The 27634-nt window shown below is 53.9% G+C and overlaps 2 protein-coding genes and 1 long non-coding RNA gene across 14 annotated transcripts, besides 16 other annotated features; 1 reads left to right on the top strand and 2 right to left on the bottom strand.

Annotated features, from left to right (window-relative positions):
- LOC124902946 (uncharacterized) lies at nucleotides 3405-5562 on the bottom strand. Its single transcript, XR_007063334.1, has 2 exons — nucleotides 4443-5562; nucleotides 3405-4327 (listed from the first exon to the last, which is right to left on the bottom strand). It is a non-coding gene; the product is annotated as an uncharacterized LOC124902946 (long non-coding RNA).
- Nucleotides 3704-3863: a silencer, noted in NCBI's record as "silent region_4574". NCBI's record gives its function as "represses an Ori minimal core promoter by ATAC-STARR-seq in GM12878 lymphoblastoid cells {active_cell/tissue: GM12878}" and the evidence as "EXISTENCE:reporter gene assay evidence [ECO:0000049][PMID:35858748]".
- Nucleotides 3903-4848: an enhancer, noted in NCBI's record as "H3K27ac-H3K4me1 hESC enhancer chr12:57505219-57506164 (GRCh37/hg19 assembly coordinates)". NCBI's record gives its function as "activates a minimal SCP1, AML or CMV promoter by ChIP-STARR-seq in naive H9 embryonic stem cells {active_cell/tissue: H9 hESC(naive)}" and the evidence as "EXISTENCE:reporter gene assay evidence [ECO:0000049][PMID:30033119]".
- Nucleotides 4849-5796: an enhancer, noted in NCBI's record as "H3K27ac-H3K4me1 hESC enhancer chr12:57504271-57505218 (GRCh37/hg19 assembly coordinates)". NCBI's record gives its function as "activates a minimal SCP1, AML or CMV promoter by ChIP-STARR-seq in naive H9 embryonic stem cells {active_cell/tissue: H9 hESC(naive)}" and the evidence as "EXISTENCE:reporter gene assay evidence [ECO:0000049][PMID:30033119]".
- On the top strand, nucleotides 4922-20876 carry STAT6 (signal transducer and activator of transcription 6). Of its 11 annotated transcripts, none has more exons than XM_047429473.1 (23): nucleotides 4922-5155; nucleotides 6174-6207; nucleotides 7985-8121; nucleotides 8541-8679; nucleotides 8970-9053; nucleotides 9453-9591; nucleotides 9704-9756; nucleotides 9945-10093; nucleotides 10685-10816; nucleotides 10945-11133; nucleotides 11471-11558; nucleotides 11698-11820; nucleotides 13363-13455; nucleotides 13788-13994; nucleotides 16194-16288; nucleotides 16381-16517; nucleotides 16844-16990; nucleotides 17206-17269; nucleotides 17382-17492; nucleotides 17687-17779; nucleotides 19151-19216; nucleotides 19306-19434; nucleotides 19523-20876. In XM_047429473.1, the coding sequence occupies exons 3-23, from the start codon at nucleotides 8006-8008 to the stop codon at nucleotides 19710-19712; spliced, it is 2544 nt and encodes an 847-aa protein (XP_047285429.1). In that variant the 5' UTR covers nucleotides 4922-5155; nucleotides 6174-6207; nucleotides 7985-8005; the 3' UTR covers nucleotides 19713-20876. The 11 variants fall into 11 exon arrangements, 10 of the variants coding, with proteins under 10 accessions (XP_047285429.1, XP_047285431.1, XP_047285430.1 ...); XM_047429475.1 differs by having other exon boundaries at nucleotides 6174-6241; XM_047429474.1 differs by having other exon boundaries at nucleotides 6174-6343.
- Nucleotides 13458-13958: an enhancer, noted in NCBI's record as "H3K4me1 hESC enhancer chr12:57496109-57496609 (GRCh37/hg19 assembly coordinates)". NCBI's record gives its function as "activates a minimal SCP1, AML or CMV promoter by ChIP-STARR-seq in primed H9 embryonic stem cells {active_cell/tissue: H9 hESC(primed)}" and the evidence as "EXISTENCE:reporter gene assay evidence [ECO:0000049][PMID:30033119]".
- Nucleotides 13959-14459: an enhancer, noted in NCBI's record as "H3K4me1 hESC enhancer chr12:57495608-57496108 (GRCh37/hg19 assembly coordinates)". NCBI's record gives its function as "activates a minimal SCP1, AML or CMV promoter by ChIP-STARR-seq in naive H9 embryonic stem cells {active_cell/tissue: H9 hESC(naive)}" and the evidence as "EXISTENCE:reporter gene assay evidence [ECO:0000049][PMID:30033119]".
- Nucleotides 15742-16264: an enhancer, noted in NCBI's record as "H3K4me1 hESC enhancer chr12:57493803-57494325 (GRCh37/hg19 assembly coordinates)". NCBI's record gives its function as "activates a minimal SCP1, AML or CMV promoter by ChIP-STARR-seq in naive H9 embryonic stem cells {active_cell/tissue: H9 hESC(naive)}" and the evidence as "EXISTENCE:reporter gene assay evidence [ECO:0000049][PMID:30033119]".
- Nucleotides 19641-20477: an enhancer, noted in NCBI's record as "H3K4me1 hESC enhancer chr12:57489590-57490426 (GRCh37/hg19 assembly coordinates)". NCBI's record gives its function as "activates a minimal SCP1, AML or CMV promoter by ChIP-STARR-seq in naive H9 embryonic stem cells {active_cell/tissue: H9 hESC(naive)}" and the evidence as "EXISTENCE:reporter gene assay evidence [ECO:0000049][PMID:30033119]".
- Nucleotides 19844-19963: an enhancer, noted in NCBI's record as "active region_6526". NCBI's record gives its function as "activates an Ori minimal core promoter by ATAC-STARR-seq in GM12878 lymphoblastoid cells {active_cell/tissue: GM12878}" and the evidence as "EXISTENCE:reporter gene assay evidence [ECO:0000049][PMID:35858748]".
- NAB2 (NGFI-A binding protein 2) lies at nucleotides 20808-27170 on the bottom strand. Of its 2 annotated transcripts, NM_005967.4 has the most exons (7): nucleotides 26930-27170; nucleotides 24286-25159; nucleotides 23703-23836; nucleotides 23316-23367; nucleotides 23089-23221; nucleotides 22686-22877; nucleotides 20808-21672 (listed from the first exon to the last, which is right to left on the bottom strand). In NM_005967.4, the coding sequence occupies exons 1-7, from the start codon at nucleotides 27010-27012 to the stop codon at nucleotides 21563-21565; spliced, it is 1578 nt and encodes a 525-aa protein (NP_005958.1). In that variant the 5' UTR covers nucleotides 27013-27170; the 3' UTR covers nucleotides 20808-21562. The 2 variants fall into 2 exon arrangements, with proteins under 2 accessions (NP_005958.1, NP_001317234.1); NM_001330305.2 differs by lacking the exon at nucleotides 22686-22877.
- Nucleotides 21022-21552: an enhancer, noted in NCBI's record as "H3K27ac-H3K4me1 hESC enhancer chr12:57488515-57489045 (GRCh37/hg19 assembly coordinates)". NCBI's record gives its function as "activates a minimal SCP1, AML or CMV promoter by ChIP-STARR-seq in primed H9 embryonic stem cells {active_cell/tissue: H9 hESC(primed)}" and the evidence as "EXISTENCE:reporter gene assay evidence [ECO:0000049][PMID:30033119]".
- Nucleotides 21979-22048: a silencer, noted in NCBI's record as "silent region_4573". NCBI's record gives its function as "represses an Ori minimal core promoter by ATAC-STARR-seq in GM12878 lymphoblastoid cells {active_cell/tissue: GM12878}" and the evidence as "EXISTENCE:reporter gene assay evidence [ECO:0000049][PMID:35858748]".
- Nucleotides 22044-22338: an enhancer, noted in NCBI's record as "tiled region #4597; HepG2 Activating non-DNase unmatched - State 17:Gen3', and K562 Activating DNase matched - State 5:Enh". NCBI's record gives its function as "activates a minimal TATA promoter and a strong SV40 promoter by Sharpr-MPRA in HepG2 and K562 cells {active_cell/tissue: HepG2 | K562}" and the evidence as "EXISTENCE:reporter gene assay evidence [ECO:0000049][PMID:27701403]".
- Nucleotides 22044-22616: a biological region, named in NCBI's record as "Sharpr-MPRA regulatory region 4597".
- Nucleotides 22085-22616: an enhancer, noted in NCBI's record as "H3K4me1 hESC enhancer chr12:57487451-57487982 (GRCh37/hg19 assembly coordinates)". NCBI's record gives its function as "activates a minimal SCP1, AML or CMV promoter by ChIP-STARR-seq in naive H9 embryonic stem cells {active_cell/tissue: H9 hESC(naive)}" and the evidence as "EXISTENCE:reporter gene assay evidence [ECO:0000049][PMID:30033119]".
- Nucleotides 22889-22938: a silencer, noted in NCBI's record as "silent region_4572". NCBI's record gives its function as "represses an Ori minimal core promoter by ATAC-STARR-seq in GM12878 lymphoblastoid cells {active_cell/tissue: GM12878}" and the evidence as "EXISTENCE:reporter gene assay evidence [ECO:0000049][PMID:35858748]".
- Nucleotides 24286-24566: a silencer, noted in NCBI's record as "fragment chr12:57485501-57485781 (GRCh37/hg19 assembly coordinates)". NCBI's record gives its function as "represses an EF-1alpha promoter that drives an FKBP-Casp9 reporter gene in an ReSE screen in HepG2 liver carcinoma cells {active_cell/tissue: HepG2}" and the evidence as "EXISTENCE:reporter gene assay evidence [ECO:0000049][PMID:32094911]".
- Nucleotides 26959-27578: a silencer, noted in NCBI's record as "silent region_4571". NCBI's record gives its function as "represses an Ori minimal core promoter by ATAC-STARR-seq in GM12878 lymphoblastoid cells {active_cell/tissue: GM12878}" and the evidence as "EXISTENCE:reporter gene assay evidence [ECO:0000049][PMID:35858748]".

Below are 27634 nucleotides of genomic sequence, written 5' to 3'. Positions count from 1 at the left end.
TCTAATTAAATGATGAGTTGGTATGAAGATGGATGGAAACTTGAGGAGAATAGTGAAGGCCTGGGAGATAGAGCTGGCTAGGGGCCCTCAGCAGCTTCCCACAATTCTTTTGTGACCTCCTCCTCCTTTCCCTCATCCTCCACAAATCACAGTCCACTATTCAGTGTTCTTGAACTGTCTTGTCTGTGAAATGTACTGAGCTCCAGCAATCAATCCATCAATCAGTTTAGTCCTTACGTAGGAGAGTATGTATAAAACATTTAGCCCAGCACCAAGTACATGGGAGACACTCAGTTAATTGCAGCCCTTCATATCTTTACCACCAAGAATGCATGTTGTTTTTTCTAGCTGCTGCACAGCAGTGTGTACAGTATGATATGAGTCCTTGCCCTCCTTGAACTTGTGTTATTGTTGAGGAAGAAAGATGTACCCACAAAATAATTAAAAAGCAATACAAAGGAATATGTAGTGGCCACCAGTACCCAAATTGTGCTTCTGTTATTATTATTATTATTATTATTTTTGAGACAAACCCTCACTCTGTTGCTGGAGTGCAGTGGTGTGATCCTGGCTCACTGTAACCTCCACCTCCTGGGTTTAAGCAATTCTCGTGCCTCAGCCTCCCAAGTAGCTGGGACTACAGGGCAGTGCCACCACACCTGGCTAATTTTTGTATTTTTAGAGACGGGGTTTCACCATGTTGGCCAAGCTGATCTCGAACTCCTTACCTCAGGTGATCTGCCCACCTTGGCCTCCCAAAGTGCTGGGATTACAGGCGTGAGCCACCATGCATGGCTGTGCTTTTTTTTTTTTTCCCCACAACCAGCACTAAAAAGTATGTTTTATCATGACTTAGAATTCAGATACATATAGGGCCGGGAGTGGTGGCTCATGGCTGTAATCCCAGCACTTTGGGAGGCTGAGGTGGGTGGATCACCTGAGGCCAAGAGTTTGAGAGCAGCCTGACCAATATGGTGTCTCTACTAAAAATACAAAAATTAGCTGGGTGTCATGGCATGTGCCTGTAGTCCCAGCTACTGGGGAAGCTGAGACAGGAGAATTGCTTGAACCCAGGAGGCAGAAGTTGCAGTGAGCCGAGATCCCGCCACTGTACTCCAGCCTGGGCGACAGAGGGAGACTCCATCTCAAATAAAAAAAAAAAAAAAAGAATTCAGATACATATATAAAGCTGAAACAAAAGTTTAATTAAACAATACTTATCCTTACTTCGCTTGATGCCTTCTGATATTTTCTGTACTGTTCTATTCTACTTCAGTTTTATTTTTTAATTTTATTCACTTTATTTTTTATTTTTTGAGATGGAGTCTCACTCTGTTGCCCAGGCTGGAGTGCAGGGGTGTAATCTCAGCTCACTGCAGCCTCTGCCTCCCGGATTCCAGTGATTTTCCTGCTTCAGCTTCCCAGGTAGCTGGGATTGCAGGCACATGCCACTGTGCCCAGATAATTTTTTGTATTTTTTAGTAGAGACGGGGCTTCACCATGTTGGCCAGGCTGGTCTTGAACTCCTAACCTCAGATGATCCGCACACCTCGGCCTCCCAAAGTGCTAGGATTACAGGCATGAGCCTCTGCGCCTGGCCTTTACTTCAGTTTCAAAGAGTGAAGGTCAAGACACTGTTTTTTTTTATGTTTTGTTTTTAATTTTGTTTTAAATTTTTTTTGTAGAGATGGGATCTTGCTATGTTGCCCAGGCTGGTCTCGAACTCCTGGCCTCCAGCAATCCTCCTGCCTCAGCCTCCCAGAGTATTGGGATTACAGGTGTGAGCCATTGTGCTTGATCAAGATGCTGTTATGGGCTGAGTTGTGTTCCTCAAAAATTCTCTTGAAGTCCTAATCTCAAGTACTTCAGGACGTGACCTTATTTTGAAGGACCCCCTTATAGGGTCTTTACAGAGGTAATTAAGTTAAAATGAGGCCATTAGGATGGGGCCTAATGCAATATGACTGGTATCCTTGAAAAAAGGGGAAACTTGGAGACTGACTTGCATACAAAGAGAACAGTGTGTGAACGTGAAAATGGCCAAGGAGGGAGGCCTGGAATAGAGCCTTCCTTCACATCCCTGAGAAGGAATCAATCAATCCTGCTCAGGTTAACCTTGATCTTGGACTTCTAGCCTCCAGCATCTTGAGAGATTTCTGTTGTTTAAGTCATGCAATATGTAGTACTTTGTTACAGCAGCCCTAGCAAACTGATACACTCACCAAATCGATTTTGTGACTCACTATTGGGTTGTAACCAGCAGTACATAGACATAAAGTTATTTTTTCCTTACGCTTTATCTTGTGCAATCGTGTGTGTGTGTGTGTGTGTGTGTGTGTGTGTGTGTGTGTGTGTGACGGAGTCTTGTTCTGTCACCAGGCTGGAGTGCAGTGGCTTGATCTCGGCTCACTATAATCTCTGCCTTCCAGATTCAAGTGATTTCCCTGCCTCAGCCTCCTGAGTAGCTGGGACTACAGGCGCGCACCACCACGCCCGACTAATTTTTTGTATTTTTAGTAGAGACGGGGTTTCACCATGTTGGCCAGGATGGTCTCAATCTCCTGACCTTGTGATCTGCCTGCCTCAGCCTCCCAAAGTGCTGGGATTACAGGCGTGAGCCTCTCTTGTGCAATCTTTACCACCACTCAATGGGATGTCAAGGTCCAGGGGAGGGTGATACAGTCACCCTCACAGTCATGCAGGTGCAGATGTCATTAATGAAGGTCTGACAGACCCTGCAATTGTACAATCTGAAGATGAGTATCTCCTTAAATTTCATACTCTAGGCACTTTACCCTAGCCTAGACTCTGTTGAAGTAGGTATAACTATTATTCTCATTTGAGGGATTGACACCTGATTGTGAACCTCCTAAATGGAGTCATACCCAAGCCAGATTTGCCTCTAAATTCTGTTTTTTCCCCTTACATCACAGTGTTCCCATTGGTATAGTCAGTTACAGAGGGAGTAATATATACTATTTTTCTACCAGTACTTGCTCCTCGCCTTCCTACCCCCTAAAAGGAGCCAAAGTCAGAGATCACATTTACTCTTTTCCCTCCTCCTCTCCAAGTCTTTGGGGACTTGTAGCTCTGACACCCTTAGATGGTGAAACCTGGCTTCACCTACTGTCTGTGGATGTCTGCAGGCAGAGTGGGCACTCGGGAGCACATACAAAGCACGTGTGCCGTGAACACGTATGTGCACACACCTTGATCCTAGCATGGCTTGTTGGACAAGCCAATGGACAGAGTCCCTGCCTGCCACCTCCACCCCTGCTCTCCCTTCTCTTCCATTCACTGTCCTGCAGACACAGCAAACACATACGCACATACACCCTCAATATCCTTTTGGCAGTAACATGACCCCCAAATCTGGGGACTTCTATGTAGGATGGAGACCCTTCTCCTTTCCTCATACCTGGTTTATTATGAACCATAAAAATAGTGCCTGACAGTTACTGTGTGTCAGGCATTGTTCTAAGCCTTCAGATGTTTTACTGCATTTTATTCTCACATTATGGGTTAAGACTTATTTGCTCCATTTTACAGATGACGAGAATGAATCACAGAGTAAATTGCTCAGGGTTGTGTGGTTAGCAGCATTAGCAGGATTTGAACCCAAGCAGCCTGTATCCACAGTCCAGTCTTTTAACTGCTATATTTTGCTGTGTTCAAACCCTCTGCTGCCTGGCTGGGTCCACACACGTGCACTCATGTACAGACCTGCGGGGTAGCAAGGGATGGAGGAGGAGGAGCTGGTTCTGGAAATCAATTCAGGCACCAGGGGGCAGCATAGGCCTAGCTTTGGCCCCTCAGCCCAGCCCCTGCTATGGGAGGGAGGAGGGGAGTAGAAACTTCCTCCCACCGCCCCTCAGACACCACCTCTTCCACACACCGGGGCTCTCAGGTGTCCGGGAGTAAAGGCCTCTCTGGATCCCTTGGTCTCCTCCAGCTCCTCCCCCAGCAAAAACTGCAGAACCCTCCACTAGTTATGTTGATGACTCAGAAGTTGAGCAAGACTGTGTGTGTGTGTGTGTGTGTGTGTGTGTGTGTGTGTGTGTGGTGTTGTGATTGCAATGGGCTCTGTTTGTGAGCCTGCCTGCACGTGTGTGTGTGTGTGTGTGTGTGTGTGTGTGTAGTCTTGTGGTCAGGGAAGTTGTGCATGTGTGTGTTTGTTTCTTGGCGTGTCTCAGTGTTTACCCCAGAAACATATAGGAACTTGGCAGATAGGAACACAGCAGATTCGTATTCAAACTTGCCCCTTGTGAATCTGCAGGCAGCAGCTCCGGCTTGTGCTGGTTCCCACCACAGTCTCAGGAGGGGTGCCCTGTGAGGAGAGAGCAAAGACCAGCTTCAGTCCAAGGGACTCCTAGAGTCTTCCAGAATTCTGAGCTGAGGGTTCCCCTCCCCCACTCCCTCCCGTCAGTGGTCACGAGACCGACCTCTAAGGCGTTCCCTGCCGGAAGGGAGGGGGACCTAGGAGTTGGCTGGCATCGAGCTCCCTGGCGGCTTTTTAGGGTCCTCCACTGGAGGGAGCGCAGAGTCCAGAGGGATTTACTTTTCCTGAGGCCCTGGGGAGCCCAGTCCCTTGTGGGTCCAAACCCCAGCCCTTGGCAGAGTTTGAGTTTGGGAGCCAGGCAGTTAGGGGTGGCAAATCTCTGTTTGATATTGGGTGACTTTCTGGAGAAAAGCTGATGCTTTTGAGGGGGACAGAGTAAGTGGGGGTCAGCCTCCCCCCAAGCCTGGCTCCAAGGCCTGGACCCCAGTCCTGATCCCCCACGTGTTCCCCCACTCGGCACAGGAGGCACACATATTCACCCCACTTTCTTCCTCTTCCTCCTCCAGCCCACTTTCTCTTCTCTGTGTCGTCAGAGCTCCAGGGAGGGACCTGGGTAGAAGGAGAAGCCGGAAACAGCGGGCTGGGGCAGCCACTGCTTACACTGAAGAGGGAGGACGGGAGAGGAGTGTGTGTGTGTGTGTGTGTGTGTGTGTGTATGTATGTGTGTGCTTTATCTTATTTTTCTTTTTGGTGGTGGTGGTGGAAGGGGGGAGGTGCTAGCAGGGCCAGCCTTGAACTCGCTGGACAGAGCTACAGACCTATGGGGCCTGGAAGTGCCCGCTGAGAAAGGGAGAAGACAGCAGAGGGGTTGCCGAGGTGAGGGGTTGCCTCCGAGGTGGGTGCGGGGGCCTCTATGAGTGCATGGGGGTGGATTCGTGGGGGGAGCTCTCGGGATCCTCCCCTGGCTGGGTGGATGGTCCCCAAGAGATGGTTTCAGCTAGTGTTGGTGGCTGGTGGCACTGGGTTTTAGCAGTTTCGAACTCCTGGAGGAATCTGGGAGGGTCCAGGCCTCAGTACTCCCCTCCCCCATGGGTCACGTTTTCACAGCCTCACCCCTGCACCCCCAGGGCCATGGAAAGTCAGGGAAAGGAGGTGAAGGAGTGCCCCTCTGCCCTGAGTCGGGGGAAGTGGCCGCCCCTCCCTGGAAGGTTGATGCCAGAGGGCAGTGGATCCTTGTTAAACCCCTATCCTGCCCTCCACTAAAGGTTCCTGTTCAAGGGTGTGGCTGGGGCGTGAGCAAGCCCCAGATGTAGACCTCATGGTGGCCCAGACGAGGGGGAATTTCCCCCTCAAAACTGCTCCACGCTTGGCTGCTGTAGACGCTGAGATTTCCCAGCGGCGGCGCCGAGTTAACCCTCCTCGTGCTGAACTGGCTCCACCTCCCCGCCTGCCCCCACCGCCACATTCACGCATTGGGCAACTCAGAGAAGCTGTTTTAACTTTCGATCCTGTGGTCCCACAATCAGAGGACTCGGGCAGATAGGGGTTGAGATAAGCGAGTTTAGGCCACCAAGCGGGCGGACGAGGATCCCAGACCTTGCGCTTCCCTTCTGAGTTTGGGAGGTAACACTGGCCCCGCCCCTCACGCCGTGGCTCCTCCCTCCCTTCCCCTTCAAGGGGCTGAAGACAAAAGGTGCCCCTGTCCTGGTCAAGCCAATCGACCCAGCCTTGTTATGGGTTGGGGTGGGGAGAAATGTGTCCTCCTGATGGCTGGGGAAGAAGAGGGGTTGGATATTTCTAGCCAGGGCCATGCCAGGAGGCTGGTCACTCTGCAAGGGGATGCAGAGGAAAGCGGTGCCCACTCACTCCAGAGGACCTTTCTCTCTTGGGCTAGAGAAAGGCCTATTGGAGGAACCTGAGCAGGAGGGGTAAGGATTCTGCCTTGAGGAGAAAAGAGCTGGGGTAAGTGGGCACTGGAGGAAAGAGGGGCATGAAGGTCTTGGAGCAGAAACGTCCAGAGAAGGGACCTCTCCATTTTCCATCCCTCTGAGAGGCCTGGGAGAGGTGAGAGGCTGAACGTGCAACAGGAGGACTTGGGGTTACTGGGTTTGGGGAGACCTGGGGAGTTGTCATCCCATCCTCTCCCTCATCTCTGGGAGAGGGATATTATGAGAAACGTGAACTGAGAGGCCCCTGGGAAACCACTGGTTACCCAGTCCTCCCTGAACCTGGAAATGGGGATGCAACCCCCTCTTCTACTTCCCTGTCCCCTCCTCTCCTTTCTACCTGTTTTCGTCTCTCATCTTTGCCTTCTAGCCCTCCAGCTTCCTCTCTCTTCTAGGCTCTTTCCTCCTAGCTTACTAAACCCGCCTTTTTTCCAGTCTCTTCCATCCTCTTCCTTAGTTCTCTCTACTTTCCTTTTCCACCTCTCCTCCTTCAAGTCTCCTCCCACCTTCCCCCACTTCTTAGGATGATCAGATTTGCCCCTGGAAGGGATCCTAACAACACAGTGCGATGGTTAATCCCCACTCAGATTCAAAGCCTGCTTTCCAAACTCACTTACTGAGTGGCCTTGGGCAGAGTAGAGAAACTCCTTAAGCCTCAGTTTCTTCATCTATAAAATGGGATATTATATATTTTAAAAAGTGTCGTGAGGCCTGAAGGAGATAATACACTGAGTGTAATGCCTCATACACAGTAAGTGCTTAACAAATAGTAGCTGTTATTACTCTCCCATCCTCTTCATCATCTAGCCTTGTGGTTTTCATTTTTATTTTATTTCATTTATTTATTTATTTATTTTGAGGCAGAGTCTCTCTCTGTCGCCCAGGCTGGAGTGCAGTGGCTCGATCTCTGCTCACTGCAAGCTCCGCCCCCCAGGTTCACGCCATTCTGTCACCTCAGCCTCCCCAGTAGCTGGGACTACAGGCGCTCGCCACCACGCCCTGCTAATTTTGTTTTTGTATTTTTAGTAGAGATGGGGTTTCACTGTGTTAGCCAGGATGGTCTTGATCTCCTGACCTCGTGATCTGCCCGCCTCGGCCTCCCAAAGCGCTGGGATTACAGGCATGAGCCACTGCGCCTGGCCGAGCCTTGTGGTTTTCAAATTATCTCATGGAGTCCTAGAATTTTGAGAGGTTTGTCTAGGGATGCCTTTGGCGTCAGGAGGTGGGGAGAGGGAAGTAGAAGCAGTCGAGTTTCAGGCTTTCCATGCTTGCTTTCAACAGGGCATCTTCGGTTTCGTACCTTTTATGTAATTGAGATTCCACAGATTAAAAGCTGACATTGCCTACCGCTTTAAAAAGTTTGGAAAGTTTTCCACTCATCTAACACTCATATTTTATAGATGAGAAGATCGAAGCCCACAAAGGGAAGGCTCTTTGCCCACAGAACCAGAGCCAGGTCTAGAGCTGCAACTAAATCCTCTGCCACTCTAAGAGAGCTCTCGCTCTACTGCCCTGTCTCCCTTTGCCTCCCCATCCCTCTGGCTACAGCTCAGCTCTTCCCACCCCTGTGTCTATCACTGAAGGAGTTACCCCCATCTCAGGCATTGACTCAGGATGCCCCTGGTTTAAGGTGGTCTGGCCATGAGTGGTGGTGGGGACGGTCCCTAGGAGGGCTATCTATGGGAGGTCCCTGGCTGCCCCAGGAGATAGGCCAAGTTTCTTGGGCACCCCTCAGAGTGGCCTTATTTTTCTCCTCCAGGCAACCTCCAAGTCCCAGATCATGTCTCTGTGGGGTCTGGTCTCCAAGATGCCCCCAGAAAAAGTGCAGCGGCTCTATGTCGACTTTCCCCAACACCTGCGGCATCTTCTGGGTGACTGGCTGGAGAGCCAGCCCTGGTGAGTCCTGGCTGCTCCCTGCTGGTCCCCCAAGTCTTCCCTAACTCATCTTCCTTCTCCTTAGATTTTTCTCCCCTCACCCATGGATTCAGAACTTGAGACCTGTTATTCCATGTGTAGTGACCTAGATTTAGCAGGGAGTCTGTGCCCCATCAAGACCAGGCTATGAATGTTGACAGATGGAGACCCCATCTCTTAGGAGGCTGAGCCGAAGAGGAGGGGGGTTTGGGCTGGGACAAAGGCACTTCTCATAACAGCTAGAAGACTGGGAAACAAGGCGCATGGGTGAAAGCTACAGAGGGCCTAGATGGAGAATAAGGAGCGAGAAAGGAACTGCTGAGCTTTTGGCTGTGGGGTAAAGGGTCAGGAGAGCTGAGGAAGCCCTGGCCTGAGGTAGCCTCATCCTGATCTTCCTGCAGGGAGTTCCTGGTCGGCTCCGACGCCTTCTGCTGCAACTTGGCTAGTGCCCTACTTTCAGACACTGTCCAGCACCTTCAGGCCTCGGTGGGAGAGCAGGGGGAGGGGAGCACCATCTTGCAACACATCAGCACCCTTGAGGTGGGGCAGGAGGGGAGGGGACAAGGCTGGGTGGGGCTGAGGTTGAACTGGGTTGAGCATTGGGCCCTGGAAGAAAATTGGTTGGATGCTGGAAGCAAATTGGTGTTCCTGTGGTTAACTGCTAGCTAGCAGGCAAATTAGATTTTAAAAGCATGCAAATGCACAAAAACTTCTGGAGTCTACAGTTGTGCTTCCTTATAGTATATGTGTGAATGCAGGCCTGGGGATTGGAGGGATTGAAGGACATGGGTAAGAGCAAAGCTCACTGTTTACCACCCTCATTTCTGTAGAGCATATATCAGAGGGACCCCCTGAAGCTGGTGGCCACTTTCAGACAAATACTTCAAGGAGAGAAAAAAGCTGTTATGGAACAGGTATTGTGATATTCCACCTCCCACCCCAACTCAATCCCCTGAGACTTTGGCCTGAGCCATGACAAACTAGAAAGAATTTGAACCTCAGTAAAGGCTCAGTGTTCTAGGCCCAGGAATGACCAAAGGAGGTTCCTAGGGTCAGAGTGAACCCCAAGTCAAGCTCAGGGAATCTTTCTATGAGGGACTGAAGGTAAGAGGCCGGGGAGAACAGAGCAAGGGATAAGGAGCTGATTCTGCTAGGAGCAAGGTCTTATCTCCACGATATTCCAAAAGGTCAGGAAGAACTGCCAAAGGGGAGAGGGGAACAAGAAAACGCTATCTGCAGAGCAGAGAGTGGAGGCCAGGTATAGAGGGATGAGCAGAGTGTTTCACTTCTTGGCATCTGTCCTTCCTGTGTAGTTCCGCCACTTGCCAATGCCTTTCCACTGGAAGCAGGAAGAACTCAAGTTTAAGACAGGCTTGCGGAGGCTGCAGCACCGAGTAGGGGAGATCCACCTTCTCCGAGAAGCCCTGCAGAAGGGGGCTGAGGCTGGCCAAGGTGGGGGCCAGGGTGGTTCTGGGGAGTGTGTAGGAGTGGTTGCCTCTTGGATCTCAACCTTATCTGAACCTCTAATCTGTCTGCACCCTTGATTTCTGCCCCCAACCCTCAGTGTCTCTGCACAGCTTGATAGAAACTCCTGCTAATGGGACTGGGCCAAGTGAGGTGAGTAATGGGCTGACAGGTGGAGACCTTGGTCAAAGTGCAGCTGGAGGGATGGAAGCTAGACCTCAGAAAGACACAGGCTGAAGTAGGGCAAGGGAATGCCAGAGGAGTGAGAAAAAGAGCCGTATCCCAGGAGCTGGGTGTGGAGGCAGCGTGAGGCCCTGGCTCAGGCCCCTCTCTGCCCATAGGCCCTGGCCATGCTACTGCAGGAGACCACTGGAGAGCTAGAGGCAGCCAAAGCCCTAGTGCTGAAGAGGATCCAGATTTGGAAACGGCAGCAGCAGCTGGCAGGGAATGGCGCACCGTTTGAGGAGAGCCTGGCCCCACTCCAGGAGAGGTTGGGCTAGGGCTGATGGGGAAGAGGGGGCAAGCTGGGGGTGGGCAGCTGACCCTGCTGAAGGCCCTACAGGTGAGAGAAAGAAGCCAGGCGGGAGGGCCTTGGAGTGGACCAAGATGCATAAAAGCCAGTTCCAGCGGGGCTGTGCACACTGTCGTTCAGGTCGCATCCTGTACAAGTGGGCCTAGTGGAGGGGCACAAGCGGGGACTCATCCAACCCAGGCTTCTCTCCTCAAGCCCCATGCCTAGAGGAATAGGAGGGCTTTTCCATTTGGTTTATTGGGTGGGAACACTTTCCAATTTGCCACAAAGCACTGTAAGTGGTGGCAGTTGTCCTGGGTGCAAGAGCCGTCGGGGGAGAGGCAGCTGGGTTTCCACAGGGGGTGTAGGCACTGAGAATGAACCTCCCACCCAGACCCTAGGCCAACAGATCACAGAACCCCCTTCAGCCCAGGTGCCTTGCAGCCACACCCACTACCCACCCCACTTCTCCACACATGATAGCCTTTCTCCCTGGGTATAGGGGAAGGGGGTCTGGGCCGGAGCAAGCAGCCTTAATCCTGTGCCCCCTGACCACTGTCCTGGCCCCAGGTGTGAAAGCCTGGTGGACATTTATTCCCAGCTACAGCAGGAGGTAGGGGCGGCTGGTGGGGAGCTTGAGCCCAAGACCCGGGCATCGCTGACTGGCCGGCTGGATGAAGTCCTGAGAACCCTCGTCACCAGGTATTCCCCGGGAGCTCCCAGTCTGGCCTAGAACAGACCTCGGGAAGAAAAGAAGGGGGCTAGAGCTGTGGGGAGGGCACCAGCAGGGACCTAGCCCCCAACTCCCCTTGTGTCCTCCTCACTCCCAGTTGCTTCCTGGTGGAGAAGCAGCCCCCCCAGGTACTGAAGACTCAGACCAAGTTCCAGGCTGGAGTTCGATTCCTGTTGGGCTTGAGGTTCCTGGGGGCCCCAGCCAAGCCTCCGCTGGTCAGGGCCGACATGGTGACAGAGAAGCAGGCGCGGGAGCTGAGTGTGCCTCAGGGTCCTGGGGCTGGAGCGTAAGCTGGGATTGGACCTGGGGTTGGAGAAGGGCTGTTAGGGTGATGGAGGCAGCCTGGAGGGCTGGCACTGAAAAGAGCAAGGGATGGGGAGGGAGGGCCATGGGATGTGGAGACCCTGAATGGTCAAGGCAGAGGAAAGGGAGGGACCCATTTAGGGCTGGAATGGGGTGGGGGCATCATGATTTGGCCAAGATGGGGACTCCTCCCTTAAGAACCCAAACAGAGACATGGAGATTTAGGGCTGGTGACAGTGGGTAGTCTACACTCACCCATGCACTCGCCACACCTGACGACAGTGAGATGAGCTCGTTCACACTCTGACCTCCCCTGGCAGAGAAAGCACTGGAGAAATCATCAACAACACTGTGCCCTTGGAGAACAGCATTCCTGGGAACTGCTGCTCTGCCCTGTTCAAGAACCTGGTGAGGGGCTTTGGGGTGCAGTGAGGGGGGCACCACTAGGAGACTGTGGGACTCTCCTTGGAGAGGATGTCAGGAAGCCCAGGAGGAGCGGTCTCTGTCCTCATGACCTCGCCCTTGCTCTCCCTCACCCCACCCACAGCTTCTCAAGAAGATCAAGCGGTGTGAGCGGAAGGGCACTGAGTCTGTCACAGAGGAGAAGTGCGCTGTGCTCTTCTCTGCCAGCTTCACACTTGGCCCCGGCAAACTCCCCATCCAGCTCCAGGTGAACCGTGGCCCAGCCCTGCCCCAATCTGGGACCCCGAGTCCTCCTCCAATGCCACACACAAGGGCCCTGGACCCTCACCTCTTGTGACTGCCCCATACCCCATGTGTCTGGGATTCATGCACACTGGGGCCCGGGTGAGTGGGGGTGAGCAAGAGCATGGAGTGCACAGGGCAGGGAATGGTAGTGGATAGCAGCAAACACTTCGGAAGCACTTCCTATAGACCAGGGCACTCTATTAAATGATACATACGCACATGCGTGCCAGCACACACACGTCTGGTTTTCACAATAACATTATGAGGTAGGCAGTATTATCAGCCTCATTTTATAGATAAGGACATTGAGACAGAGAGTTTAAGTAGTTTGTCCCAGTCACACAGCTAAGTGTTGGAGCTGGTATTTGAAACCTGGAGGTCTGGTTCCATAGCGATGACTAATAACCACTTCTCTACGGTGAGGCCCTGATTGAGCTTCAGAACGCATTTAATAACATGGCATGAGCTTTTTGATTATGATGTGTGAGTCCAATAACTTCTCTGAGTGCTCAGAGCCAGTCCCCTGAGGAAACTTCTTGCTTCACTAAGAAACCCCTGTCCGGCTGGGCATGGTGGCTCAAGCCTGTAATCCCAGCACTTTGGGAGGCCGAGGTGGGTAGATCACAAGGTCAGGAGTTCAAGACCAGCCTGGCCAATATGGTGAAACCCCGTCTCCACTAAAAATACAAAAATTAGCTGGGCGTGGTGGTGCAGGCCTGTAGTCCCAGCTGCTCGGGAGGCTAAGCAGGAGAATCGCTTGAACCCAGGAGGCGGAGGTTGCAGTGAGCCAAGATTGCGCCACTGCCCTTCAGCCTGGGCGACAGAGCAAGACTATGTCTCAAAAACAAAACAAAACAACTCAGCACTTTGGGAGGCCAAGGTAGGAGGATCGCTTGAGCCTGCAAGTTTAAGACCAGCCTGGGCTACATAGGGAGATCCAATCTCTACAAAAAATAAAAAATTGGCCGGGCATGGTGGCTCACGCCTGTAATCCCAGCACTTTGGGAGGCCAAGGCGGGCGGATCATGAGGTCAGGAAATCGAGACCATCCTGGCTAACACGGTGAAACCTCGTATCTACTAAAAATACAAAAAATTAGCCAGGCATGGTGGCGGGCGCCTGAGTCCCAGCTACTCGGGAGGCTGAAGCAGGAGAATGGCGTGAACCTGGGAGGGAGAGCTTGCAGTGAGCCAAGATCGCGCCACTGCACTCCAGCCTGAGTGACAGAGCGAGACTCTGTCTCAAAAATAAATAAATAAATAATTAGCTGGATTAGGTGGTACATTTCTGTAGTTCCAGCTATTCAGGAGGCTGAGGTGGAAGGATCACTTGAGCCCTGAAGGCTGAGGCTGCAGTGAGCTGAGATTGCACTACTGCACTCCAGCCTGGGCAACAGAGTGAGATACTATCTAAAAAAAAAAAAAAAAAAAAAAAAAAAAAAAAAAAAAAAAAAAAAAAAAGGAAAGAAAGAAAGAAAAGAAACCCCTGTCCTCACCCTCTTCAGGCCCTGTCTCTGCCCCTGGTGGTCATCGTCCATGGCAACCAAGACAACAATGCCAAAGCCACTATCCTGTGGGACAATGCCTTCTCTGAGATGGTGAGGAAAGTCCTGGAGTTGGAGGGAACAGGGGCAGGGTGGGTTCTAACATGGGCAGTGGTGCAGGCCTGCTGATGGGGTGGTGGGCATGTTTAAATGGGTGTGACCTTAACACTTTCTCATGGGCCTGCTTTCGTGCTTCTGACCTCTTTTCACCCCAGTCTTAACAACTATCAGGCCACAGCACTGTAACCTAGAAAAAACAGCATGTTTGTGAGCGATATCAGGGGCTGTGGAGGGGTAGGCCACAGGCAGGTGGGAGGGATGAAGGCCGGCCCGAGGAATAACAAGACGGTAGCCTGCAGTGCTCTCTTCTTCCCCCTTCTCCCCAGGACCGCGTGCCCTTTGTGGTGGCTGAGCGGGTGCCCTGGGAGAAGATGTGTGAAACTCTGAACCTGAAGTTCATGGCTGAGGTGGGGACCAACCGGGGGCTGCTCCCAGAGCACTTCCTCTTCCTGGCCCAGAAGATCTTCAATGACAACAGCCTCAGTATGGAGGCCTTCCAGCACCGTTCTGTGTCCTGGTCGCAGTTCAACAAGGTCATTCTCCTGCCCTTTGGACCTCCCACCCCCAAGCTCTTCATCCCTGGGGCACTCAGGGCCTGCTCAGCCTCCATGCAGGGACCTTCCACTGGATTCTCCACAGTGCCCCCTCAGGTCCTTTAGGAAGGCCTGTCATGGACCAGGGAGGAAAAACCCCAGGCCTGGGGGTTGGCTCTGGAGATGCGTTCTCTGACATCCCTGAGGTTTTGGTCTGGGGGCCATCTGTCCTTCCTCTTTACCAGTGACTTGCATGACTCACCCAGGTTGTGTGTAAACAGAGCTCTGATTCAAAGTGACTTTGACCTGTTGGAAAAATAGTTCCTGGCCGGGCACAGCGGCTCATGCCTGTAATCCCAGTCTTTGACATGCCGGGGTGGGTGGATCACCTGAGGTCAGGAGTTTGAGACCAGCCTGGCCAACATGGTGAAACTCCATCTCTACTAAAAATACAAAAATTAGCCAGTTGCGGTGGCACATGCCTGTAATCCCAGCTACATGGGAGGCTGACGCAGGAGAATTGCTTGAACCCAGGAGGTGGAGGTTGCAGTGAGCTGAGATCATACCACTGCACTCAAGCCTGGGTGACAGAGCAAGACTCTGTCTCAAAAAAAAAAAAAAAAAAAGGCCAGGCATGGTGGTTCATGCCTGTAATCCCAGCACTTTGGGAGGCCGAGACGGATAGATCACCTGAGGTCAGGAGTTCGAGACCAGCCTGGCCAACATGGCAAAACCCCGTCTCTACTAAAAACAAAAAAATAGCCAGGAGTGGTCGTTTGCGTCTGTAATCCCAGCTACTCGGCTGAGGCAGGAGGTGAACCCAGGAGGTAGAGGCTGCAGGGAAGATGAAACCATTGCACTCCAGCCTGGGCAAGACTCTGTATCAAAAAAAAAAAAAAAAAAGGCTAGGTGTGGTGGCTCACACCTGTAATCCCAGCACTTTGGGAGGCTGAGGCGGGCGGATCACAAGGTCAAGAGATCGAGACCATCCTGACCAACATGGTGAAACCCCGTCTCTACTAAAAATACAAAAATTACCTGGGCATGGTGGCGCATGCCTGTAGTCCCAACTACTCGGGAGGCTGAGGCAGGAGAATCACTTGAACCTGGGAGGCAGAGGTTGCAGCGAGCCAAGATTGTGCCACTGCACTCCAGCCTGCCAACAGAATGAGATTCTGTCTAAAAAAAAAAAGAAAGAAAGAAAGAAAGAAAAAGAATTCCTGTTGCAAAAACTGAACAAAATCCCACAGGGACATGTGCAGTAATACCAGCTACCACGTGTTGACAGCTTATATGCCAGGCGCTGTGCTTAACACCTTATGTATGTTATCTCACTTAATCCTCCCAACATCTCTTTGAGGTAGATACTATTATTATCCCCATTTTACAGATGAGGAATCTGATGCTCAGAGGGTTATGTAGTTTGTTCAAGTTCCCAAAGCAGGTGAGTGCCATGGCTAGGAGAGAACCACATATTTCTGACTCTTGCTCTTTTATTTTATGTTATATTATGTTATTTTATGTTTTGGTTTTTTTTTCTTTTCTTTCTTTCTTTCTTTCTTTCTTTCTTTCTTTCTTTCTTTCTTTCTCTTTCTTTCTTTCTTTCTTTCTTTCTTTCTTTCTTTCTTTCTTTCTTTCTTTCTTTCTTTCTCTTTCTCTTTCTCTCTTTTTCTTTCTTTTGTGTGAGACAGAATCTTTAAAGAGAAGAAAGAAATGCTCATGTGACCAGAGGGTGTGTTAGCTAAAGGGAGCAAGACAGTCACACCCAGCAGGTTACCTTCCTTTGGGCGTCACCTCTGCCACACCTCCTTAGGGAGAGGGTGTAGCATAGTAGTTAAGAGGGGCTCCAGGGCCAGAATGCCTGGGTTTAAATCCTAGCTCTGCCTCTTACCAGCTATGTAGACCTGGGCAAGTCATTCGACGTTTTTGGACTTCCATTTCTTCATCTGTAAGATGGAATTATTATAATCCCTACTTCCATAGCCTGGTAAAGAGCAAATAAATATATGGAAAGGCTTGAAATAGTGGCTGGCACGTGTAAGCATTAGGATTGGTCGTTGTCATTGATGGAGTCTCAGGTTCGGTCTGATCCTCAGCCCTGTGATTCTGTCGTGAGGGCACTCACAGCTCACTGCCTGCCCTAAACAGGCTCCAGCTCTGGCCCTCCCTCGGCTCACACCTTTCCCCCTCTCCCCCTAGGAGATCCTGCTGGGCCGTGGCTTCACCTTTTGGCAGTGGTTTGATGGTGTCCTGGACCTCACCAAACGCTGTCTCCGGAGCTACTGGTCTGACCGGTGAGTCCCCACCCTGGGTAGTCTGAGCAGCCATACACCAGTCACCTCCATACTCACTGCCCATGCCCCATCCTCTCCTTCATCCCGGCCAGGCTGATCATTGGCTTCATCAGCAAACAGTACGTTACTAGCCTTCTTCTCAATGAGCCCGACGGAACCTTTCTCCTCCGCTTCAGCGACTCAGAGATTGGGGGCATCACCATTGCCCATGTCATCCGGGGCCAGGATGGTGAGGCCACCCCAGCCAGTCCTCTGTCTCTGTGCCTGTGCCCTCTGGGGTTTCTTCTGGGAATGAAATGTCCTGACCTTCCTGATGCCGATCCTGATCTTCAGGAAGTTCTTCCAGCTTCTCTTCTTCCTTCTGTGGTCTAAATGTTCACCTTCTCACTGTGAGCTCTGTGGGAACGGAGACTAGTGGGTCTCTCTCCCTCAGGAGCCCCACCCTAGGTCCTCTCTCCCTTGCCTTGGTGGAGTGAGAACAGGTCTTATGGTAGGGGTTGGGGAAGGGGAAGAAAGTCCGGACAGAGGGATCTCAGGGTCTCCTTCCTACCATAGGCTCTCCACAGATAGAGAACATCCAGCCATTCTCTGCCAAAGACCTGTCCATTCGCTCACTGGGGGACCGAATCCGGGATCTTGCTCAGCTCAAAAATCTCTATCCCAAGAAGCCCAAGGATGAGGCTTTCCGGAGCCACTACAAGCGTGAGCTGGAACTGGCAGCTCTGATTCCTTCCTGTCACCCACTTCCTCCCTGCTCCCCGCTGCCCTCCTCTCCCTGCCCGCGTGTCATCCTGATGTCACTCCCTATTTCATAGCTGTGCTTCTCTTACTTCCCCATGATCCATGCCCACCTTTTCCACCTCCCTTCCTCCCTAACCCCAGAGCACTCCATGGCTGTCTTTTCCTTCTCACAACAGCTGAACAGATGGGTAAGGATGGCAGGGGTTATGTCCCAGCTACCATCAAGATGACCGTGGAAAGGTGAGTGTGGTGGTATGGACAGTGGGTAGGTCAGGGGCTTAGTGCTTATCTGCAGGAAGGAGGGGTGGCATCAACCCTTGGTCAGTCACATGTACCTCCTTCCCTCCTCCAGGGACCAACCACTTCCTACCCCAGAGCTCCAGATGCCTACCATGGTGCCTTCTTATGACCTTGGAATGGCCCCTGATTCCTCCATGAGCATGCAGCTTGGCCCAGATATGGTGTAAGGAGCTGGAAAGACAGGAATGGGAGTGGTCTGTGCAGATGGGCTAATCTTAGCATGGGCAGCTGGGAGAGCTGGCACTGGGGGCTGAACAGGGAATCTTCCTTTCCATGAGAGGGACACCTGTTCAAAAGCAGGGTGTGGTGGTGTCCAGGAGAAGGGCTGGCATCAGGGGGTCTGTTTTCTTTCCCCAGGCCCCAGGTGTACCCACCACACTCTCACTCCATCCCCCCGTATCAAGGCCTCTCCCCAGAAGAATCAGTCAACGTGTTGTCAGCCTTCCAGGAGTAAGTGAAAAACCTCATGGGGATACCATCCCACTCTAAGGGGGTGGGCATTTGAATTGTTAGAAGAGGCTCTTCTGTGAGAAAGGAGCAGCAAATGCTAACAGCCTGTCTTCTTCTCTTCTGTCCACTCTAATGAGGGGGTAGTAGTTAAGATCTGGACTGCCTAGGTTTGAATTCTAGCTCCACCACTTACTGGTTTGGGGCAAATTACTTAGCCTTTGGTGCCTTATCTGCACAATGGGGGATAATAATGCTAATAATAATAACCTACCTCACTGCATTATTGTGGAGATTAAATGAGTTCATAACACTTAAAAAGCTGAGCATAGTGCATGGCTCATAGCAAAAGCTGTGTAAGTCCAGTCGTGGATCACTTAATGAAGGAGCATTTTCTGTCTTTGGCAGTTTCATAATTATGCGAATACCATTGAGTATAATTACACAAACCTAGATGGTATAGACTACTATACACTGAGGCTATATTGTGTAGCCTATTGATCCTAGCTTTAAACCCGAGCAGCATGATACTGTTCTGAATAGTATAAGGAAATAGTAACATAATGGTAAATATTTGTGTGATAGGAATTTTCAGCTTGATTATAATTTTTTTTTTTTGAGACAGGGTCTCACTCACTGGAGTGCAGTGGTGCGATCTTAGCTCCCTGCAACCTCCGCCTCTTGGGCTCGAGCAATCCTCCTGCTGTAGTGCACCACGACACTCGGCTAATTCTTTTTTAAGATTTTTCTGCAGACAAGGTCTCACTTACTGCCCAAGCTGGTCTCAAACTCCTGGGCTTAAGTGATCCTCCCACCTCGGCCTCCCAAAGCGTTAGGATTACAGGCGTGAGTCACTCTGCCTGGCCTTGATTATAATCTTATGGGACCACTGTGGTCTGTAGTTGACAGAAATGTCGTTAATGTGGTGCATGACTGTTATTATTATTTTCTGTCCTGCCCCTGAGAGCCACTGTCACTTCTCTGCTGTATTGGTTTTTGTTTACTCATCTGTTTTGGCCTTGAAATGGCCTAGACATTTTTCTTCCCGAAGTATGACACTCGGGTGCTTATTAACTTAGTCAAGACACAACATCTCCCTTCCCAGAAGGTGAGGCGGGAGTGAGGACTTGGGGACTTAAGAACTACCAAAGTTCAGAGTCCAAAGAAACATTAGAAATTGGCTAATCCACCCCCATAACACGCACATTTTACAGATGAGAAGACTGAGCTCAGAGCATAGAAATAGCTTGCCCAGGCCATGACTAAGTCAGGATAAGGAGCTGGAGCTTGTTTCCTCACTCAGTGGTCCTGACTTTGCACCACTCTGCATTTGCCTAGCCTGCCTTCCTCTAACTGTGCTCTCCCTACTTCCAGGCCTCACCTGCAGATGCCCCCCAGCCTGGGCCAGATGAGCCTGCCCTTTGACCAGCCTCACCCCCAGTGAGTGACAAAGCCCCTCCTGACCCCATGTGCCTCTTCTTTCCTGGCCTTGCCCCGCTCTCCTTATTTCCATTGCTGGTTCCTGGCAGGGGCCTGCTGCCGTGCCAGCCTCAGGAGCATGCTGTGTCCAGCCCTGACCCCCTGCTCTGCTCAGATGTGACCATGGTGGAAGACAGCTGCCTGAGCCAGCCAGTGACAGCGTTTCCTCAGGGCACTTGGTGAGTGGCAGCTTGGGAGTGGAGGCTGGGTGGCATCTAGGGGAGTGGGCGCCATGCCTACTCCACTGCTTCTCCCATCTCCTTGCAGGATTGGTGAAGACATATTCCCTCCTCTGCTGCCTCCCACTGAACAGGACCTCACTAAGCTTCTCCTGGAGGGGCAAGGGGAGTCGGGGGGAGGGTCCTTGGGGGCACAGCCCCTCCTGCAGCCCTCCCACTATGGGCAATCTGGGATCTCAATGTCCCACATGGACCTAAGGGCCAACCCCAGTTGGTGATCCCAGCTGGAGGGAGAACCCAAAGAGACAGCTCTTCTACTACCCCCACAGACCTGCTCTGGACACTTGCTCATGCCCTGCCAAGCAGCAGATGGGGAGGGTGCCCTCCTATCCCCACCTACTCCTGGGTCAGGAGGAAAAGACTAACAGGAGAATGCACAGTGGGTGGAGCCAATCCACTCCTTCCTTTCTATCATTCCCCTGCCCACCTCCTTCCAGCACTGACTGGAAGGGAAGTTCAGGCTCTGAGACACACCCCAACATGCCTGCACCTGCAGCGCGCACACGCACGCACACACACATACAGAGCTCTCTGAGGGTGATGGGGCTGAGCAGGAGGGGGGCTGGGTAAGAGCACAGGTTAGGGCATGGAAGGCTTCTCCGCCCATTCTGACCCAGGGCCTAGGACGGATAGGCAGGAACATACAGACACATTTACACTAGAGGCCAGGGATAGAGGATATTGGGTCTCAGCCCTAGGGGAATGGGAAGCAGCTCAAGGGACCCTGGGTGGGAGCATAGGAGGGGTCTGGACATGTGGTTACTAGTACAGGTTTTGCCCTGATTAAAAAATCTCCCAAAGCCCCAAATTCCTGTTAGCCAGGTGGAGGCTTCTGATACGTGTATGAGACTATGCAAAAGTACAAGGGCTGAGATTCTTCGTGTATAGCTGTGTGAACGTGTATGTACCTAGGATATGTTAAATGTATAGCTGGCACCTTAGTTGCATGACCACATAGAACATGTGTCTATCTGCTTTTGCCTACGTGACAACACAAATTTGGGAGGGTGAGACACTGCACAGAAGACAGCAGCAAGTGTGCTGGCCTCTCTGACATATGCTAACCCCCAAATACTCTGAATTTGGAGTCTGACTGTGCCCAAGTGGGTCCAAGTGGCTGTGACATCTACGTATGGCTCCACACCTCCAATGCTGCCTGGGAGCCAGGGTGAGAGTCTGGGTCCAGGCCTGGCCATGTGGCCCTCCAGTGTATGAGAGGGCCCTGCCTGCTGCATCTTTTCTGTTGCCCCATCCACCGCCAGCTTCCCTTCACTCCCCTATCCCATTCTCCCTCTCAAGGCAGGGGTCATAGATCCTAAGCCATAAAATAAATTTTATTCCAAAATAACAAAATAAATAATCTACTGTACACAATCTGAAAAGAAAGACGCTCTAACTGCTCAGATAGGTGCTGCGGTCCAGCCCCCAGCTGGAGGAGACCCTGAGTCCAACCCAGGCCTCCCGAGGGGGCCAGTGAAGGGATCCCACACCCACCGCCCCTATGTAGGGCAGGGAAGAAATTGCAAAGGACTTGGGGGATAGATGGGAATGGGAGGGCAAACTGCAGCACTTGTTAAATTAATTAAAGAAACAAACCAGAAGCACAAAAACGGGGAAGGAGAGGGGAGAAGGAGCAGGTCCAGTGTTCCCAGGCCCCCAATTCTGGGGGCAAATGTTGCCACTTTTAGCTGGACCTTCCCAGGGAAGTCCCCCTTTCCCCCTTGTCCAAACTGAGTCCAACTGCTCACACCACTGGTGCAAACCTAAAGAGAATGGGAGTGTGTTGTGTGAGGGAGGGGAAAACCCCAGATGCCCTGGAGGCAGAGTCCTTGCCCCCTCGCTCTGGGCAGGGGTGAGGGCACCACGCACCCTCCTTGTGTCCTCTCTCCAGGCCTCTGCTTGTTATTGCTTGAAGCCCCACAGTCTTATGCCCATGGAGCAGGTGGGGAGGCAGGAGAAGGGCAGAGGAAGGATCCAGGGTTGTGACTAGATTCCGGGGATGGAGAGCGTGGGGGTCTGTGTGAGCCAGAAGTCTGAGGTCCTGGGTCTGAAGACACCAGTCCAACCCTCACTGCCGGCTGGCCTCAGCCTCCACTTTCACGCTGCTCCTGCGACCCTCCACCAGCGCGGGATGGGGTCCTGGGGCAGGACATCTGTCCAGCAGCCCTTCCTCGAACTCTGCAGGGAAAAGGGGGCAGTTAGGAGACTGCAGGGTGACTGGCTGCAGACAGAGGTGGTTGGGAACAGAAGCAGGGGCAAAGAAAGCTGTGAAGATGGGCTCAGTTTAGGTTTATTGAATTACTGCCTCCTGCCCACTGCATGTGTATGGGGGGTTCCATTCCCATGTGTGTGAGCCCCCTCCCCTCCCTGGCTGTGCGTAGCTCTGTCTCTGTCTGTCTCTCTCTCTTTCTCTCCCGCCTCCTCGGTTGCGCTGGAATTTCTGGTTCTGTCAGGAGCTGCGGGGGTGGTTTGGCTCTGACCTCTCCCCTCCCCCCTTCCCAAGCTCTGCCACCCCCACTCATCCCTGGCCCCCTCCCAGGCCCCTCCCAGGCCACTCTACCATGGCCCCCCAAGTTTTTTGGTAGCCAAATCAGAGGGAGAACAGGAAGCCAGCCTCCGAGCTCCTCCCTCAAGAAGAGCCCCCCTTCCAGTCCCCGCCCCCACTTCCCACCCACGCACAGTTTAAAAATACCAAGCCAGGGTTGGTGGCTTTGTCTGCTGCGTCACTCTCAGCCCAGCGGCTGCCCGGCCCTCCGCCTGCCCACTCCCTCTTCCCCCTTCCACACACAAAGCATCACTGCTTTGGGCTCCTCTGCTTCCAAGCTGGGCATCCCCATCCCCATACCCACAACTCCTAGCCTGCTCCCCACTCCTGGGTTGGTGGAAGTGCCATCTGAGCTTCCCTTATTGATGCTCCTCCTTCCTGCTCCTTCATCCTCTTTTCTCTGTCCCCCCATTCCCCAGTTCCCCTTTCACAGATCTACACTAGGACCAGACTTTCCATGGTGGGAGCAGCTCGGCAGGGTCTGCCTCTCTGCACCCCAAGGCCTGGCTGGCTGGAGCCCAGCCATCCTACTGCCCTCTCTGACGACTATATCCCTCTTCCTCCCACCTGGCCCCAGGACACCAGAATTGCTGTGTGGGGCCTGAGTGGCCGGGGTGCTTGGGGACAGCACTGCTGGCTGCCTCACCTGCGAGAGGTGGCTTCGCAGGCACACAGGGGCTGAGGCGGCCCACGCGGTCGTGGGAGACGAGGCGGGCGAGCCGCAGCCCCTCGTCCATCAGTGTCTGCTGCAGGATGTGTCGGCTCCATAGCCCATGGGCTGGCAATGCCAGAGGCAGGTCAGCAGGGGGCGGCGTCAGCCTTGGACATGACCCCACAGCTGTGGGCATGGGCACTGGTCAGGTAAGGGGCTGCAGCCAATGGAACCCCCACCCTCAACCACATAGCCAGCCCACAGGCCCTTCTGCCCCCCCTCCAGCCAGGTCTCCCAACCCTGTTTCAGGCACTGCCTCCTGGCTCACTCCTCCCCCAACCCCCTCCCCTACTCCCCCACCCTCAATGAAGAGAAAAGTGTTCTGAGGCACACTCACCCTGCAAATGTCCATCCAGACTCTCCCCAGACAGGCTGGCGCTGTCCTCCTCCAGGCTGGGGCGGTATGGGGGTACATAGGACTCAGGGCCTGGGGGAGGCTGCTGGATTTCAGGGTGACTCTGTTCTCCAACCTGTGGATGCCCAACATGGGGAAATGAAGACCTGCCAAGGGAGGGGATTGGGGAAGGCTGCCCAGTGCCCCTATATGCACCCCGGAAAACATACCTCTTGTTTCAGCTTCTTCAGTGGAGGGCCTCCCAGTTCTTCAGGGTGAAGCCTGAAAAGATGGGTAAGAATAAAGTGGATGAGGCTGACGAGGGCCACTCGACTGGCAGAGCACAGAACCCAGCCAGAGGCATGTGTTATTTAAAACCTTTGCCAAGAAGCTGGCCGAGAAAGAGTCTCTAGTTCAAGCACTATTGTTGTAGGGGGTTGGGGGGACCCGACATGGATGGGAGGAGAGACCAGACCTGAGACAAGCTGACTTGGCCAAAAGCAGGACATCCAGGTGGGCGGGAAGCAGGCCTAGAGCTGCCTGAGCTGAAGGTTAGGACATGATCTAACTCCATAGCAGGATTCCAGTCCAGGAAGGACCTGGGGAAGGGGTCTCACCTGGAGCCCTTCAAGGAGGACAAGTAGGTGCTCTCTCGGGCTACTTGGCGGGACAAAGAGAAGAGCTCCACTCTCCGTAATAAGAGCGTGTTGTCCCTCATGCAGAACTGGGCAGCAGCCTCGTTGATGGTGAGCTGTGGAGGGAGGGCAGCCAGGAGAGTCAGAATTCGAACTTCCCCGCTGCCTCACCAGACCTCCTCACACCCCTTCACCATTGGACAAATGAGGCCCATCCATCAGACGCTTGCTTTGGTTTTGACACTACATGGGAGCTTTCTGAGGTGGGAAGACAGAGGTCAGCACCCACAGCTTCCTAGGAATGCCCGGGGCCTCCTCCTCTCCTGTGGGGTCCTGAGTGACAAGGAGCTGAACAGCTCGGTGCTGCCTGTATCTCTGCTTCCCCCTCAGCTGAGGATGGAAGCACTGCGGCCGCTGGGGTAGGGGCCTGTTGGGGAGGGGATCAGGGCCTGGGGTCCTGGTCAAGAGATAATGAAAGATAGTCGGAGACTGTAGAAACTCGCAGAGGTAAGCGGCTGGAGACCTGGAAGTCAAGGGCAATCCTAGGAGGCCTGGGGGTTCTCACCTCGTGCAGGCTGAGCTGCTTGCCCTCCCGCCGCTTAGAGTCGAAACGGCCATAGATGATGCTGTATTTGCGGATCTCCTCTTCCTTCTGGCTGTCATTATCATCCATCTCAAAGATGTGCCCAACGCTCCGTGCCAGCTTCTTATTCAGCTTTAGCAGGGATGTGACCTCCCCAGCATCCCCCCTTGGGAAGCTCCGGAAGATCCTCTCCACACTTTCCACCACCATGCGTACCATCTCTGGCTCCAGTCGGTCTGGACCACCCCCAGTCCCACCTGCTGCCAGCCCCCCAGCCCCAGTCCCCTCAGGGACTCCTCCCCCTGCAGGGGGGGAGAAGGGGGGCGAGCCAGCCTCCTCTTCTCCTCCTGCCCCAACGTCCGACTCTGGAGTGCTCCGGCCTGGCCAGATCCGGGGGTCCCCTGCCCCAGGTCCCCCAGGCAGTGGTGATAGCTTCTCTCCAAGTTCAAGGGGGCTCTTGGGGCTAAAACTGCGGGCACTGCCTGCCTTTTCCCCTGGGCTGCCATGCCCATTGCTCATGCTCCCTTTCCGGGTACCCGCAGTCTCAGAGATCTTGAAGAGCGGGATGCTGGAGACGGGAACAGCAGGCACTGGTTGACTGAAGAGCCCTGGATTGGTGGCCCACTCTCTCAGTGCCTTCTGCAGGCGCCGGACATGGAGGGGCTTGGTGGCCATGCCCACAAGTGCCATGATCTCCAGAAACTCCTCCTCACCCGCCTCACACAGCTGCTGCACGTCGTCCCCTCCCTGCTGGATGAAGGTCTCATAGTAGGAAAGGAGGTTGGCGCGCTGCAGGACCCGGTACAGCTGCAGCTCCCCCAGCGTCCGAGGCAGTGCCATGGCTCGGGCACTGGGCCTGAGAAGGAGGGGCACAAGAGAGAGGCAGTCGGTGCAAGTCCCCCTACTGGGTACCAACCCACACTAACAATTGTTCCCTCTTTCCTGCCTGCTTTTCTTCCCCTCCCTCATTTGGATGCTATCCTGCCCAGTGCCCAGGTCTGAGTACAGACTCTCAGAATCAGGCACTGCTCAGAGGCATGGACAAGCCAGTGCCGTCCTAGACTGGCCCGAAGCCCCAAAAGTCAGTGGCCTGTGTCTGTAGGAGTCGAAGCGTCTTACAACCTTATCTTCAGCTTTTATCTTTTTGGTCTGGGGCAAGAAGAACTTGAGCGCTGAGGCTGACCAGCACCGACCTGGGATGGCTGGACCTCCCTCTCCCCCAAAACACAATCCTCACCTTCCCCTCTAAACACTCAGCAGTCTCAACACTGAAGTGAAGTCACCCATACTAAAGTGAATGTAGGAGCCCAGTCTCCCCCACAGTGGACGCTGCTGGCCAGCTTCATTCCCTGTGAAGGGGCCACAGCCCCAGGTGGCTAAAAGGGAGGGTGTGGCACCTTCCCTGGCTTTCCCACTCAGTGAGCCAGGTGGTGCCTTACTCTTCTCCGCTCAGCTTTTCCCAGGGGTTAAGCATTTATTTATTTATTTATTTATTTATTTATTTGAGACGGAGTCTCGCTCTGTCACCCAGGCTGGAGTGCAGTGGCGCTGTCACTGCAACCTCCGCCTCCCGGGTTCAAGCGATTCTCCTGCCTCAGCCTCCTGAGTAGCTGAGATTACAGGCGCCCGCCACCATGCCCGGCTAATTTTTGTATTTTTAGTAGAAACGGGGTTTCACCATGTTGGTCAGGCTGGGCTCGAATTCCTGACCTCGTGATCCACCCGCCTCAGCCTCCCAAAGTGCTGGGATTACAGGCCTGAGCCACCGGGCCCGCCCGGCCTGGTTAAGCATTCTTAACGCACGCTTCCTCTCTCCCCTCAGAACCTCTCCACCCTTCCAGGCTGCCCAGTGCTCCTCAGTGGCCCCTCTCCTAGCAGTGACACTCCCCACTTCCTCGGTCAGCCTTTTCCTTCAGCTCAGGGGCCGTGGCAGGGGGAGGGGCGCAATTGTTCTGCTCCGGGGCCGTTCCGCCCACACACACTCCCACAGTGGTAGCGTCTGTAGGCGAAAACCGCCCAGGGGCTCCCGCCTACTCTCCTCTCCCATATTTTCCACCCGCATCTTCAAGTGGAGTGGGGGAGCGGCTCAAGGCCTCTTGATGAAGGGGCTGCACACTGAAACTCCCCTCCCCGCTCTGTGAATAAAGGGACAGATATGGGAAGGAACGCCTAAGGCCTCCCTGCCTCCCTCGTCACCCCCCCTTTCCCCCGCTGATGCTCCTTTAACTCAAAGGCACCGGGGGCCCGCGCGCTCCGTGCCAACGAGGGACTGAGGCAACTGAGCGTCCCCCCACCTTCCGCACTGATGCCAGCTCGAGCTCCAGGGCATCCCCTGGTGCTTGGAGGCTCCCACATTCTTTGCAGGGGGCTCTTAGGCCAGATGGAGCCCACAGAGTAAACCAGGAATGGAGATTTGGGTACTACTCTTTCATATCCAGCTTCATCAGATGCTTGCCTGCTCCCAGGGCCCCCTAATTCGAAGACGCACCCCCTTTTCCATCAGTCTCCACCCCCCACCCCCGTCCTGCTTCCCCACGTCCTCCCCTCGACCTCCGCCCTCTGGACCCCATTCCCAAGTCCAGCTCCACCCATCTCCACTCCCCGCTGCCTCCCTTTGCCCACTAACTTGAGTCTGGGCTGCAGGGTCCGGCGGGCGCTGTCCCCTCCGCCCGGCGGCTGCTCGGCTGTGGGGGAAGGCGCTCTGTGCATGGACGGCCGGAGATCACCCGGGCTGCCCTTCTCGGTGCCCGGCGCTCGGCGCCTGCTGCGTGCTGCCCTCTTCCCCGCGCACGATGCCGTGTCCACCGCTGTCCAGGCTCTGTCCCTCCCTCCACGTCTTCTCTCTCCGAGCCTCCGCGCCTCTGTCTGTGCCTCTGCCCCCCCACCCTCCCCGGCTGCGCTTGCCGCCTCTCCGCGCCTCCGCCCCCGCAGGACGCACAGGGAGCGAGGCCCGGAGCTGCGCTGGCTGCCGGGCTGGCGGGCGGAGGGCGTGGGCAGAGCCGGGGGCGGGGGTGGGGGCGGGGGCCGGGGAGGCGGGCGCTGGGGCCTCTCGGCCGCGGAGACGCCGCGGCTTAGAGACTGGGAGAGGCGGAGACGGGGGGGGAGGGGGTGTGGAGCAGGAGGCGGGGGCGGGGATTCAGAGCCGGGGCGCCGAATTGGGGACCGAGGTGACCGAGGCCCGGCTGTGCAGGGCGGGCTTGGGGACCCAGCGGGCGGGGCGAGGTCGTTCTGTGCCGCCCACGCCGGATGCACAGCCGGCCCTCTTGGCGCCCACGTACCCACGTGAGCGCCCCGCCGGCGACATTCCTTCTCTCCCCCACCCCTCCGAGCT

This window comes from Homo sapiens, chromosome 12 (assembly GCF_000001405.40).
Source record: "Homo sapiens chromosome 12, GRCh38.p14 Primary Assembly".
Classification (NCBI taxonomy): domain Eukaryota; kingdom Metazoa; phylum Chordata; class Mammalia; order Primates; family Hominidae; genus Homo; species Homo sapiens.
This window is presented reverse-complemented; position numbering and strand designations above follow the sequence as displayed.